At 37.6% G+C, this 15,834-nt stretch overlaps 1 protein-coding gene across 5 annotated transcripts in view; it reads left to right on the top strand.

Annotated features, from left to right (window-relative positions):
- Positions 1–15,834, top strand: part of SUMF1 (sulfatase modifying factor 1) — a 432,784-nt gene that overhangs the window by 165,167 nt on the left and 251,783 nt on the right. The window contains exon 10 of one of the 5 annotated variants that reach the window (XR_007095664.1): positions 319–15,564. The exons of the other annotated variants lie outside the window; for them this stretch is intronic. The gene's annotated coding sequence lies outside the window, so the exon portion shown is untranslated. Of the gene's footprint in view, positions 1–318; positions 15,565–15,834 lie in introns of those variants that run through there. 5 annotated transcript variants of the gene reach the window in all.

Raw genomic sequence — 15,834 nt, 5'->3', positions numbered from 1 at the left:
ACAAACCCTTCTGACCTTGCAGCTTCTGAGGTCCCATTGGCCTAAATGTGTTTCCATCTTGCAGACCTTTCCTTGTTAGTATCCTCTTGTTGTTTTCCTGCCTGACTGTTTCTGAAAAGTGGGTGTGATTCAGGGTTCTGCCCTTGACCTTTTTCTTTGCTCCCCTTCCCTGAACTTTCTCATTAATAACATCCACTCCCATGGCTTCAAATATAAAGGATTAGGTCACCAGTCTCCAACCCAGATCAGACGTTTCTCCTCAAATCCAGTTACGCATATTCAGCTAATGATTGAGCATTTCTGTTTTCTGTCCTACAGGCTCCTCAAACTCAAAATAATCTGAATTGACTTCTTCTGCCAGTCTTGCTTTTTCTTCTTTAAAGTTAACTGGGAAAATAATTTGTGATCTACAGAGCCACTAAAGCAACAAACCAGTTACTCTGTATTCCTTCACTTCACTAGACTCATATAGCTAAGGACGTGGTGGGTAAGTCTTGTTGATTCTGCCTTCATGTTCTCATTTTTGCCTCTTCTCACTTAGTCCTAGGCTCTCTCATTTCTTGCTTGGACTTTGGAAGTTCTTTGCTTTAAGTCTGTCATTCTCCATATCCCCAAATCACCCTTACTGCCGCTGCTACAATGACCTTTGAAGATCCTTGTCCAGTTATTATATTTTGCTGCTTAGATTCTTATTTGCTCCATTTTCTCTCAAAGTTTACCTTCTATATTCTGTCTTATGAGCCTTTGAGGACCCAGACTTTACCTATTTCCTTGGTCTCTTTTGCTGCTGTTCTCTGTTGGAACCCCTTGTTCTGTTGACATTCCCTCAAAAAGCCATTCTACTTGGGCCTCTGGGCCTTTGTCCACATTGTTCTTGTATCTCCAGTGCCTTTACCCAGGACTGTCTGTCTGCTCAGCTCAAGTAGTCCCTTCTCTGTATCTTTCTTTACCCTGTTTCCCTTAGCATTGGTTACCCTCTTTACATTAGTTCTCCTACTTTATAAGCCATTTCTTATGTTCCCTGCAACTATTTAATGTAAGCACAGGCAAAACCATCTTATTGAACTCATAAAAATTATATATATATATATTGGTGGAGGGTGGGGAGATAGATAGATAGAGAAACATTTTGTTTTAACTTAAATGATTTTGGTACATTTATATGCTAGTCTTTTGATGTAGGGCCAAAAGAGAAGGAGAGCTAGAGTGTGTGTGTGTGTGTGTCTCTGTATGTTTGTTTTCTACTGATTAGAGCTCCAGGTCAAGCTTACTCTGAGTTCCAGTTTTGGTGTCTTTAAAGTGGGGTGGGAACTAAAGGATAGTGAAGCAATGGGATATCATGATCTGTTTTCTTTCCCTAGTCTTTTATACTTTTCTCACTCACACCCACTTCAAGGGCAAAACATTTTTTAGTGACTTGCTTTTTTTTCTCCAAGTCTTTACAGAATGTTCTACTTAGTTATCCCAGAAGGGAGAAACTCTTTGCACTCATAGTTCATCATCCTTTTTTCATAAAATTATAATAACAGTTATACCTGGCATTAATAGGTTTGAGAACAGAAATTAAAGATCAGCCTTATAAATGTGCTATTCATGAGCATGTATAAAATCACATAATTTTGCACTGCAGTACACATCTGATATAAAAACTTTTTTGAGTACACATCTGATATAAAAACTTTCTTGTGTTGCTGTAAAGAAATACTTGAGGCTAGGTAATTTATAAAGAAAAGAGGTTTAATTGGCTCATGGCTCTGCAGGCTGTACAGGTAGTATGGTGCTGGCATTTGTTCGGTTCCTGGGCAGGCCTCAGGAAGCTTTGAGTCATAGTAGAAGGTGAAGAGGAAGCAGGCATCTCACATGGTCAAAGCAGGAGCAGTGAGAGAGAGTGGGGGTTGGGGCAGGTGCCACACACACTTTTAAATGACCGGATCTTGTGAGAATTAACTCACTGTTGTGATGACAGCACCGAGGGGATGGTGCTTTAGCACCCATGGGTTTAATGAGAAACCCGCCCCCATGATCCAGTCTTCTCCTACTATGCCCCACCTCCAACACTGGGGATTAGATTTCAACATGAGGCTTGGATGAGGACAAATATCCAAATTATATCAATAGGGAATTGATTCTATGTAGAAAAGAATCAAAATGTAAGAGTTAGGGGCACAGTATCTGAAATCAGCCATGACTAAATTTATATTCCTACTCTGCAAATTTCTGACCATGGGAAATAATAGCTAACATTTATTGACTTATTATGTACCAGATACTGTTTTTTTATTTTTTATTTTTTGAGGTGGAGTCTCACTCTGTCACCCAGGCTGGAGTGCAGTGGCGCCATCCTGGCTCACTGCAACCTCCACCTCTTGGGTTCAAGCAGTCTTCCTGCCTCAGCCTCTTGAGGAGCTGGGATTACAGGTGTGTGCCACCACACCCAGCTACTTTTTTGTATTTTTAGTAGAGCTGGGGTTTCACCGAATTGACCATACTGGTCTCAAACTCCTGACCTCAAGTGATCCACCCATCTCCACCTCCCAAAGTGCTGAGATTACAGGCATAAGCGACGACATCTGGCCCAGATATTGTTTAAACATTTGATATGTATAAATTCATTAATACCCATAATATGGTACTTGAAACATCTACCACAGGGTCATTTCAGGTTCAACTAAACATTCGGGTTCACAGGACTGTCACTGGCCACACTTGGCATTAGCTTCACTTGAGATTATAGGACAAGAGCCAAAGCCTACCAGCAGAGAGGCCTCAGGTGTACCCCTTCTGTGGGAATAGTGCTTGCAGTCCACACAGCAGGTCACAGAGCTGCCTGGGAGCTGTTTGTTCTCCCAGAGGGTGGCTCAAATGCAAGGAGAATATATCCCATTAATAGGGTGTGGGGGAATCCTGAATTAGAAGCCTTGCCTCTCAGAAGCTATAGATTTTAAGGTAGCTGCCTAGTAAATATTTTATCAGATATAGTTGTGTACCTATCCTTCCTTAAAAGAAGAGATAGTCATGTATATGATACAATTAGCTGCTTATAGTATAATTAAGAAACATAAGAAGGTTTAGGTAAAGTGCTATGGATCTTTAGAACTGGTAAAGATTACTTTTAGCAGGGGAGATCATGAATGATGGATAGGATTTAGGCATTCCAGGTGGAAGGAACAGGAGAAGCAAAGTAATAAAAAGAAAGATGTGGATAGGAAAGAGTAATTTCAGATTGGCTGGAGATAAGGTTTGTTTCACCCTTCAGGAATTTTGAATAGTATGGGAATTTCTCAGATATTCAGAGAACATGCTGTTCATTCATTTTAAGAAAAGTTTGACCACTGATTACATGCATGGTCCAGTTTACCAATTAGGGGAATGTATACATGAAGAAGACATGGTACCCTAGAAAAGCTTGCAGTGTAACAGACAAATAACTATATACTTACAGAATGTGATAGAAATTGTAAGAATGTTGTGAGAAAAGAATTATAAGAGCCATGAGGAGAACCACACTCCTATATTTGCTGTTATGCCATTTTTAGTTTTTGACTCTTTCTTGGTAATACTGTCTGCTATTTGGAAAATTTTTTTGAAGGATCCACTTTATTTTATTTTTTCGGAAGCTGTCAGCAGTGGTGCTTCCAGAATAAGATATTTTGTGCATGCTGGCCCTTTGGTTTAATTTGTTTTTATCTTGCTGGCAGAGGATCCAAAAGTATTTTATAGAGTATGAGATTAAAATAATGAGAGGATGTTTGCAGGCTGATATAACCAATCTTCAGAATGCCAAGCTGTCAGTCTTTCATCTTTTCGGGGTCTAGAAACCTGTCTTATTTTCTCTAGACAACTGCTTTTCATTGACCAGGAACCTTGATCTTCAGAATTTGTTCTGCAAACCATTATAGCTAGATGGTGGGGAAAAATGTATTTCTGGACATTAATGAATTGCCCTAATAGATTTCCATAAACAGGTTTTGGAACTGAATATTGCATTGATTATTCAGATTTCTTTTGGATTTTTCACTGGCAGAAGAGAAACTAATCTGATCAGTAATAAAAAAATAAAAAGAAAACAATACAATATAATAAAACTCTGACATTTCATAGGTTCAGTTATCCTTGGCTAAATTATGAGGTATGACTATTTGAGCTTTACATTTATTAACAAAAGTGGTCTTTAATTGGGGTGTTTTTATGCTTTTTTGTTCAGGGTTTTTATGAAGTTCTGCATGGCTTTGTATTCAGAAGCCATTCTTTTATCAAAGTTTCACTAGCATTATCTGAGCTTAATATTCTGGGATGTACTTTGTAGCCAGTGATGAAAGGAGGAAAGTCAGCAGAAATTACTTACATATTTGTTAGCATTTGAAACATCTTAGCCTTCTAATAAGAACTATCACGGCCAGGCACAGTGGCTTATGTCTGTAATCCCAGTGCCTTGGGAAGCTGAGGTAGGAGGATGGAGGATGGCTCAAGGCCAGGAGTTCCAGGCAAGCTTGGGCAACGTAGCCAGACTCCATCTCAAAAAAAAAAAAAAAAAAAAATTCAGGTGTAGTGGCTTGTGGCTGTAATTCTAGGGAGGCTGAGGTGGGAGGATTGCTTGAGCCCAGCAATCCAAGGCTTCAGTTAGCTATGATTGTGCCACCGTACTGCAGCCTGGATTGGGCGACGGAGAGAGACCTTCTCTCTAAAACAAACCCAAAACACCTGACACCAGTAGATACCAAGTAGGCATAGTACAGGCACTGGATCCTCTCATGAAAAAAGATTGTTGCATGAAGTCATTTTAAAAAGAAGCATGGTAATTGATCCTTTTGGGGATTTCTGTCCAATTTGGTGACCATTTCCCTTGTGAGAACATGCCATCCCTCACCCAGCCCGTCTAACGGGGTGGGCTCACAGACAGTTATGTTTATATTACACAGTGATCTCCTAAAAAGCCTCGGCCCAAGTTTTTAGCTTACAGGTGCACACCTTTTTCAATCTAGGACAATTAGGTTCTCTTGGTCAGGAGCTGAGACCAAATCACAGCTAAAACTATTATTTATAATTCAGGAGCTGAGAGGTAGGTTTATTTGGTATATAGATGGAGAAGCAGGGGAAAGTCCGTCTTCCAAGAGAAAAATAAAGCAGATGAGTGATAAGGAGAGAGGACAGCTGTCTATTTCTGGTTTCAGTCTCTTTTTCGATTCACATTACATAACTATATTATTATAATAAATTCTTCCTTTGGGTTTAGGTTAAGTCAGAGTGGTTTCTGTTACTTTAAACAATTTTAGCCAGGAAAGGTACTGTGAACATTTATAATGACATTATTATTACCATTATTATCATTAGACAGTGTGGGTTGGATAATTAGCTACTTTGCTCTTGATATGGTTTCGCTGTGTTCCCATCCAAATCTCATCTTGAATTGTAGCTCCTGTAATCCGCACGTGTCGTGGGAGGGACCCAGTGGGAGGTAATTGAATCAGGGGGTTGGGCTTTTCTCCTGATAGTGAGTAAGTCTCATGAGATCTGATGGTTTTATAAAAGGGCAGTTCCCCTGCACACGCTTATCTTGCCTGCTGCCAGGTAAGATGTACCTTTGCTCCTCCTTCACCTTCCACCATGATTGTGAGGCCTCCCCAGCCATGTGAAACTGTGAGTCCATTAAACCTCTTTTCCTTTATAAATTACCCAGTCTCAGGTATGTCTTTATTAGCAGCCTGAGAACAGACTCATACAGCTCTGTATAGAAGTTATATGATCTTTATGAATTTTTGTTCACTTTAAAAGATGGGTAAGCTTTTTTTTTTTTTTAACTATTTTGCCTTTCTGATGTGTCTTCACTAAAGAGTGCCTTCCCAAAATAATATTAATAGAATTTTATAACATCAAACAGTAGTACAAAATAAGAAATTTCTATCTGGTGGAAGGGATAATAATACAGTAATAATGGCTAATACTTCTATAGCACATAAGTCATACCCAGTATTGTTTTTTTTTTAAAAAAGCAAAGGCATATGGGTCATTTTTCTATAAGAAAAAATGTGGCAATTTATTAAAATAACTTGAAACTTTTATCTTACAAAATTGTGACCCTGTGTTATGTTTTCCAAAAGACAGCAGTTTACATTTTTGTGTTTAGACTGCTATTAAATATGTTTTCAGCAGAATAAAAAAACTTCCATCTTGTCCTATGTTTTTATCATTGCATTATGGTTTCATGAAACCCATAATTTCCCTTGTTGATATGATAAAAAACATAAAGATAAAATCACAATCAGAATATTGTTAGTGTAAGTACTTTAGCTGTGAAGTAATATCCAGGATTGATGATTGTAGACTGTCTCAAAATGTTATGAAGTCAAATGTGGATTGTTTGATAATATGCGAAGAGGTGAAAGAAGAGTATTATGTATTTATATAACCTGCAATATCACCAGCAAGAAATTAATTTCACTCACGGAAAACATATGAACAAATTTATTATCATGCGTATTCAAATACTGTTACCAAGGCTATGAGAGCAGACTTGCTTTGTTTGCAGTTTGACCTTGAAAAGCACAGCCCGCGGTTCGTTCATTTCACGTTCCAGGTAGTAAGCTTTGCATACCACCTATAAACAGAATTTTTTCTAGAGTACTAGATCTTCCTTCTCATCTATAATAAGGCACACCACCAGCCTTTTCTGCTTGCAGTTTTGAAAGCAAAGATGAAGTTTAGTTCCACAAGCGTCCTATTTTAGAGCAATCTACCAAAAACATTCTAAGCCCAGATCTACAAGTATCTACAGGATAATTTCGCTGGATACCACCAAATATCATCTGAGACTGGAATCCTTCTTAGAGACTATATTAATTTTCTGCTTCTTATAATGCAACGTTCCTGCAACTATATAGGCCCCTGGCATTCTCACTCTGGTAGCTTCCCAGCCCCAGTTCTAGCATTTGAGTGGAGAAAGGAAACCATGGAAACGAAAAACCAAATGCAAAAAATTTTACTCAGTTGCCCAAGACTAACTTGTCTAAAGCATCTCTTGGAAAAATGTTGATGATTTATAATTATTTTTAGATATTTCAACCAGGAAAAGTTTGTCGTAAAAAGAATTCCACAGAGGAAAAAGCTCTTTTCTTTTTCATTATCTCAGTAAGTGTGAATGTGTTAAAGTCAGCGTCGCTGCAGACGGATCTCTACGTAGGAATTGAAGAGGACTGTGGAAACTCCTTTTTACTCTCCTCACACATATAGTTAGTCCAAAAAGACCTCGCTCAGTGTCTGACTACAGTGCCTGAAATCCTCATCATTAGAACTTCTCCCATTTGCGATAAACATTGCTGTTTCCATGTCATGTTTTTTTTTAGAACTCCAGTATTCTCGGGAGTGAAAAAAATGGTAAACACAGATATGTTTTACATATTGCTTTCTTTCCAGACAAGAAGAAACCTGGGCAGCCTGACAACTTAGAGGAATTGGTGAAGAGGAGGAAAAAAATGTCAGACACACCAAATTAACATTTGTTGTTGTTGTTGTTGAGACAGGTTCTTGCTCTGTTGCCCAGGCTGGAGTGCAGTGGTACACTCTCTACAACTCAGAGGCTCATTGTACCTCAGAGGCTCACTGCAGCCTCGATCTCTCAGCCTAAAGAAATCCTCCTGCCTCAGCGTCCTTTGCAGCTGAGACTACAGGCACACACTATGATGCCTGGCTAATTTTTTAAATTTTTTGTAGAGATAGGGTCTTGCAGTGTTGCCTGGGCTCGTCTTGAACTCCAGGGCTCAGATGATCCCTCTGCCTTGGCCTCCCAAAGTGCTGAGAATGAATGGACGTGGCCACGTGTAACTACTGAATAGTTGAAATATGGCTAGTGTGACCGAAGAGCTGAATTTCAAATTTATCAATTTTAATTAAATTTGATTTAAATAGCTACGTATAGCTATGGACAGCACATTCCTAGATACTATACTTAAACATTACACATATTTTAAATTTGATCCTCACAACAATTCCACGAAGTAGGCAGTATTAATATCTCCACTGCCCAAGATCTGAGAACTGAAATTCCAATAGATTAGGTATTTTAAAAAATGTATTTCACATGTATGAGTGGTAGGGGTGAATGTGGGCCTAGGTCTGAAACTCTGCCTCTCTGAAGATAAAGTTTCTCACCATTTATGTTTCTAAGCCTTTCCCATATTCAGAGACTACTTTTCTTCTGGCTGCTGTGCAGGAATGAAAGGATTAGAAATCTTGAAATTAGAAAACATAAACAGTTTTTCATCCCATTGGAAAGTATAGTGATTTATATAGTGAAGGGCATTATGTAGCTTGAGAGATGTTTTTACTAAGGGTTGTGCTCTTGGGCTTTGAAAATATAATCACATTAATTAATCTGCCTCAAAGGAAACCTTGATCTCACTGCTGAATATGCTAGTCTTACAGCCTGACTACTTAGAACAGTCTATTAGGCTACTGAAATTTCTGCTTTGTGACATTCGAATGTTATTACTATAATTTTACTAATTGTGAGTTACCTGAGTGAGGGAACTGAATAATAGAAATCTGTTGCATATAAGATTATGTCTCTCTTGGTAGTAATAAAAATGCCGAGGAAATAACCAATTTATAAATGGTCATAGAAGTGATTTCTAATTCTATTCTCTTTATCTTTTCGGGCTTTTAAAAATAAGTGAATGGAGGCAACAAACTGCTCTATGCCTGTGCCACTCAGGAGAGGCAAAATAGGTGGCTCTTTGAACTCCAAAACCTTTTAGCTTCAGAATAGAAAGTCAAGGAAGTTGTGTTTTGGGAAATTGAGCTTTCTTTGCAACAGTGGAATGGATTTTTTCAGTGTCATTCTAATCTAATCATTAGGATTAGAACATATTACATATAATATGTAACTCTTCCACTTCCAGTTACATATTATAACTGCACTATGTGGTTGATGAATGATTGGTCATAACAGGCAGCTCTGAATTCCTTTATCCTGAACCCTGACTCTAGCTTTAATCCCTCAGTTTGAAAGTCTTTCATTTAGTTGTTCATTTAGCTGTTCTCTTATCATTTTAATTTGCAGTTTTTAAAAAAGTCAAGTATTTTCAAACATCTTTGCTTTGTTAGTTTGAGCTCTGGAAGATTAAATTTCACGTTCTGGAACTCACCCATGAGCTTAGCTTAGAAGAACATTGAATATAATTTGTTTTTTACAGAGCCTGGAAATTACAGGGTTAATGACACAGGAAACCACTTCTCACTGCAGATGAAATATGTGTGTCTTTTTTCATCTCTTAGCAAATTAGGTAAAGTTTTCCCCCAAAGAGCATTTTTGTTTTTAGTTGGTAAATTAAACAAGCAGTTCAGATTGCACTTTCCAGACCCTAGATTTTGTAGGTATTTGTTGCTGGGGCTTTTGTCTTAATGAAGTCTGGCAGTACCTGTTCAGATGAAATAGCCAATTTTACCTTTGCTCTGGCACTTAATCCAGCCATCTGCTCTAGCTTTGGCTTTCAAGCACAAAGGGAAAGTACAAAGTATAGCTAACTTGTTGGTGACAGCTGGTGGGTAAAAGAATCATTGTGTTTGACAGTGTCCTTTGGAATAGACCACGAGGTGAATAAAATACAATATATTGCCTCATCTTATAGCTGCCTTTAGGTTAGTTGAAATTTAAATTTCTGACTCACCCACCTTATTTTCACTTCTTAGGCAAAGCCCCTTCTTGTCATGTACTGCATCAGCCATATGTTCTTGGGTAAGGGTATTGTGTAGACCAACACTGAAGTAGAAATTCCACTAAACAAAACGCCTTGCGTTTAATCAATGACTTAAGACATGCTATTCGTTTTAGCCTATGTGTATTTTTAAACTAGAAATGATCATGGACAGTATTTATATATTCTAGGGCAAATGTTCATCTTAGAGAAAAGCCAATACTTTTAATTTTTTTCCTGCATTAAAAAACTGTGCTAATTAATAATTGATAAATAAGGAAAATTTTATTTTTGATCAATAGATTTACATTTGAACAACTGGAGTTTTATTCCAAACATGTTTTTGCAAATAATTAGTTGTTTCAATCTTTGGTTGTACTTTTTAGTGAGCGAATGAAGCTATTGGCTGATCCTCAAACATAGTTAGCTACTGGAAGCAACCTTGTATCTAAAACACCATGTTAGCATTGGGATGAGGTAGCTGAAGTGAGGTGAGAGGAAGAGAAGCTCACAGAAGAGAGTTGGCAAAAGACGTTTGGTGGAAGGTTATTTAAGATAGAATTTATTCTAATCCAGATCAGAGAAGCAGCGAGAGATTATATAGTTGGAAATGTGGCCCACATCAACCCTAAAAGATAAGGACATTTTTTTGCTTCCCTGTTGGAAAGTATTTGGAATTCATGGCAATTTAGTTTTCCACTTTGCACTTGGAAACTTAATTTCGTCTTTCCCCAAAGGTCTATATAAAGAACCCATTTTCTGCCAAGGACCAATCAAACAGGATCATGGAATCACTGATAGAAGTGGTAAAAAGCGACTTCAATTCCTTCCCTTGGAGAAGTATAAAATCCTTATTCACTAAACATGAAACCAAGTTATCTATTATTCACTGCAAACCTTTTCTGGAACAAAGTGAGGCATAAATTATTTATTTTGCATTATGAAATAAAGTGGTAAAAAGAAGGAGAGAGGAAGGCACTTTAGAGTGAGTAAAAATGGAAGAGAAATGCAGGAGACAAGGAGAGAGAGCAGAGATGAGGGGGAGAGAGAGATGGATTTCAAGCAGGAATAAGATGGGAGTCAGGGCAAGCGAAAATATCTGGATTATTTATAATTAAAGAGTTTATGTCTCCTATAATGATCTGGCCTATTGTTAAGCTGGGACTACCATCAGTGTTAACATATCTGAAAATTTCTCATTGAAATTCTTGATTGTCATTTAACAATTGAATGTTTTGAGGATCTGCTACTTGCAGTGCACCATGATAGAGTTATCGGGAATAGTTATTATAATATTTGGCGGACACATACTATGTGCCCGACATTAGACAAAACATTTTATGTGGGTTCTTTTATCCTTAAAAGAGTCCTGTGAGGTAGGCAGTATCACTACCTCTCCTCACTACATATTACTGTAGAGACAATGAGATATGAAGAAGTTAAAGTTGGTCAACAAAGTTTTACAAGTGTTCGGATTTACAGTTGTTTTTTTTCCTGACTTCCATTTTGTAAATGCACCTACCATGGCTAATTTCAAGCTACCAACACTTTAACAACCAGCTTGCAAGCTTTCTGAATGTTAAGCTATTGATGAGAGTAGGTATGAACTGGCTTCAGTACACGTCTGAAGGTGACTGTCCACATATCCTCAAAATACCTACAGTCTAGCAGGGGAGATAAGACTATACAATATGAAGTAGAAAATAAGAAGAACCAGATAAGGCAGCATGGAAATTTAGAGAAGAGATAAGTTTGATTTAGAAGGTTCTATGAGGGGGACATTTAAACTGTATTTTGAGGAGCGGGTAGTATTTGAAGATGTAGATTTGGGGCAGAAGACCTGGAGGGGAAGGGAAAAGCATGAACAGCTGATGTTCCATGTTACCTTCTCGTTCTTAAAATGTGCTTTGGCTCTGTAGCAGCAATACCCTTACGGTCCACAAGGTGGTGTGATAACCCTATCCTTTTGTCCATTTAATTACAAATGATAAAATACCCATTTTGCATAAACTGGACAAGAAGTTTTTACTCTGTTGAAAATGAGGAAAGAGTTAAAAAATGTTTGTAGCAAATTGTGATGAGAAAATTCAGATAAACGTTTTCCTTTGCTGTGATTTGTTTAGACTCACATTTACACAATCTAAGAGAAATTTATGTTCAAGTTATAACGAGTACATAGGCAGTTGTAAAATGACTGAGTGAATATGTTTGACAAAAGATGGAAAATACTGTCTAAAGATGCTAAACTTGGGAATGTGTTTTATTTGTCTGAGAGTTAAAAATTGGGTATGTCTTTTAAGTTTCATTGTGATTAAAAAACCAACCCAGCATAATTTAAATTCATTCACCAGATTGAATGGCTACAGTGTGCCACTCATTATGCCATGTGTGATTTGCCTATTATGCCTTATACCTGGATCTCATATCTAGATCTGCCAATAGTTGCAAAAATGCAACTTAATCAATTATGGAAGACGTTTTGAAATGTTTTGTTGTTTTTGTTGATAACACAATTTATTTGATGCTAGAGTCATTCATAATAAAGAAAGGTTTATTTTTAGCATTTGTTCATGTAGTTATTCAGCGTGTTTATTAAGTACCAACTGTGTGTTGGCCATTGTGCTAGGTGCTATTTTAAATGGTCGTTTAGTTTACAGAGTGCTCTAGCTAGAAACCCTACAACCAGATGCTTTACCCCTTCTGGATGATAGCAACAAAGAAAATGGGTTTAAATTAAGAGAAGGTAGATCCAGTTGACAAAAGGAAAAGAGTACTGTAATGGGTGATGGAGGGTGAGTATGGAGGGGGTTCCTTGTAGGAAATCTATAAGAACAGAATTGATATAATTAAGATATATACTTGCTTGAAGGCAAGGGCTTAAGCTCTGACTCATAGAGCTTCCTATCTTATTTTAGGTCTCTAATTGCTAGTGTAGTAATGTAAGAACACCCTTCAACAGACAGTCTATGTGTGACCGATTTACACCACACTGGCCCAGTGCGGTTCCTTGCTCTTTGGAGCCTCTTTCCTCACCCATAAAATGAGGTTGATAATGCCAGTCTCATAGGATTGTCCTGGAGATTTAACTGAGCAGGAAATACAGGATTTATTTTGGAGTCAGCTTTGTAAGTGCTAAGAGAAGGAGGAGATCCTTGGATTCTTGCTCCTCCCCAAGTGGGACTATCTTGGCCTCCAGCTGCTCTTTCACCTCCAGTCTGAGTTTCTCAGGCTTCCTTTCTGTCACTATCTTCCCCATTTTCCCGAAACCTCGTAGTTGCTTTCAGTGTTGTTCAGTTCTGGTTTGGCTGGGATAGGGTTTAAAATAGCCCTCACTCTGAATGTGATGGCATTACTGCCCACCAGGAGCAAATTATGCTATGTACTGTAGCAGAAAAGGTTGTGTGATAATGAATAAAGAGATGGAGTTGGTAGAAAGAACAACACCACTGTGGGCTTGAGGTCCTTCTTGATTTTCATGGATAAAACAGTAAATAATAAGGAAGTTTAAGAGAACGTTGTGAAGTTCCGAAACCATCTTCCTTTGGGGGCAGAAATTAAATTGTATTTAGAAACAATGGAGGGCTTTGTAGGTTCAATTTTTTTTTTTTTCTAGACAGAGTCTCGCTCTGTTGTTCAGGCTGGAGTGCAAATGACACGATCTTGGCTCACTGCAACCTCCACCTCCCAGGTTTCAAGCAATTCTCCTGCCTCAGCCTCCACTCTGAGTAGCTGGGATTACAGGTGCATGCCACCATGCCCAGCTAATTTTTGTATTTTTGGTAGAGATGGGGTTTCACCATGTTGGTCAGGCTGGTCTCAAACTCCTGACTTTGTGATCTGCCAGCCTTGTAGCTTCTAATTTTTGAGTGGGGTGATTGTATGGCAATACTAAGCTAGGTTAGCGGGTATTCAATTTTTCATACCACTGTAGAGTTAGGAAAGGGAGCTCAACGGGAAGAGCTGTTTCAGGGACAGAGACCCATGATAGTAATTCTTTCAGAATGCTTTTACATCTATCCAAAAGCTTTGGAATATTAATTTTTTTAAAGTAGAAAGACACAGAAAATAATAATTTCTGGTTCTTAATCTTTGCCTAAAGCTGATGACATTTTTGTGCTGTGCCAACAGGGAGATTCTGTCCATGCATAGTTTTTTCCCTTGTCAGTACGTTTGCTTACTGCTCAGATGTATTAACAGAAATTAGGAAACTGGTATCTATGTACCAGTGATGAAGCAATTAAGAACTTCATTTGTATTATTGTATATTCCTCACCTTCCCTAGGTGTTGTCTGGTGAGGTAGTTCTAAATGGTCATAGACCTAGATTGCAGATAGCAGGTGCCTGAACTCTCTGGGGTCATTATTTTGCCTTTGCATGGGATCATCTTTAAATTTTTCATACCACTGTAGAGTTAGGAAAGGGAGCTAAAAAGATGAGCAGAAGAGAAGTATGGATGTCAGAGCAGTAGCATTAATTATCCAAATCTGTGAATTATCAGAAAGCTTACAAAATATTCTATTTCCCTATATTGGAAGATTTACTAATTTACTTTAAGCTTTGCTTGGTTGATAATAATAGAATTTTCTAAGCACAAACAACTAGCTAATGCAGAACTAACAAGATGACAAGGAAAAGCACTATATTCTTTGAATCTGTTGTTCCTAAACTGCACTGAGGCACCTTGGGACTCCAAAGGGAATACTGTAGTATATTTTAAATATTCAAGGGAAACAGTGATATTCAATGTCTGTGCAAATTACTAGCTCTAGGTAGGTCATGGTTTCAACATTAGATTGTGCCACGTTCCTTTTGGTGAGGTCCTATCTTTGTGAAGCTGTGTTTTTGGTAATTGCTGTAATACTAAGCAAATACCAGTGAAAATCAATGTGGAATGAGAAATGAGAGTGACAGCATCCAATCTGATTCCAAAGTTAGAAGGTTGTGCGGTGACCAACAAGCACACACATCCCATTAGTAAGGAAATGTGTGAAAGATTTTTTTTTTTTACAATTTATGTTCATTATTCTTCTAAATGGCTATTTGGAAAATAAATGTTTATTAAGTTTTTTGAATCTTTACTGTGAACAACTGATGTTTTACTGCCTCAATTTCTGAAAGGTTATTTTCTTATTTTGTTAAGTTGCTGGTTCTGAACTTTTTGGTCTCAGGTTCCCTTTATATTCTTAACAATAGTTGAGGACCCCCTGAAAGCTTTGCATTGTGTTGTTCTGTCTACCAGTATTTAACATATTAGGAATTAAAACTGAAAACATACAAGAACTCAGGAACATATAGCACACATTCCATTAGCTGTGAGAAACATGATGTCATGTAGCCTCTGGAAAACACATACACTTGTGAGAGAATGACAGTTACAAGGCAAATGACACTTAAGTATTATTATGAAAATAATTTTGACATTGCAGACCACCTGTAATGATCTCGGGTATCCCAGGCATCCCTGGACCACACTTTGAGAACATTGCAATAGATGGTTTTACAATAACCTAAAACATAAATCCAGGCTGCAGTGATACACCCATTGCATTGTTCTGCAAGTTCTGTGTAAATATTTCATGTCTAAAATGCTTCATAATTTTTATCTATAGTACATAGTTTTACAAGTGTACGTTAGGTGTTCTGTGCTACGATGGTGTTATGATGGATCTTAATGTTTTACATTTGCCTTATTGACACTGATAAAACATCTTTGAACTTATTATTTTATAAGCTTTAACTTGCGAAACTTATTTGTAATATTCTTTTATATTTTCCTCATTAATGATTGCATTTTCTCTTGGAATCATGGGCTTTAACAGAACATGACTGCTGGTGTGATGAAAATGAAATTTAAACAATAAAACCTTCAGCACCATTTTACTCATCATTTTGTTCAGAAAATAAACCAATCATATTCTTTCTTCAAATAAGTTGTTTTTCATTCCAGAGCTAAAATTAGTTTTACTGTGCGCTGATTGTTGCACAGCATAAAAAGACTTTCTAGACTTTTACTGCTTTTGTGCTGTATTAGAAGATGTTCCCAGCCTTGCTTCTTTGTTAATACGGTTTTTGCTTTGTTTTCCTATAGATGCAGAAAACTCATGTTTATAACATGCAAAAGGAACAATAAGAAACTTGCCCTAAC

This window comes from Homo sapiens, chromosome 3 (assembly GCF_000001405.40).
Source record: "Homo sapiens chromosome 3, GRCh38.p14 Primary Assembly".
NCBI lineage: Eukaryota > Metazoa > Chordata > Mammalia > Primates > Hominidae > Homo > Homo sapiens.
Note: the sequence above shows the minus strand (reverse complement) of the source record. Positions and strands in the feature narration are given on the sequence as shown.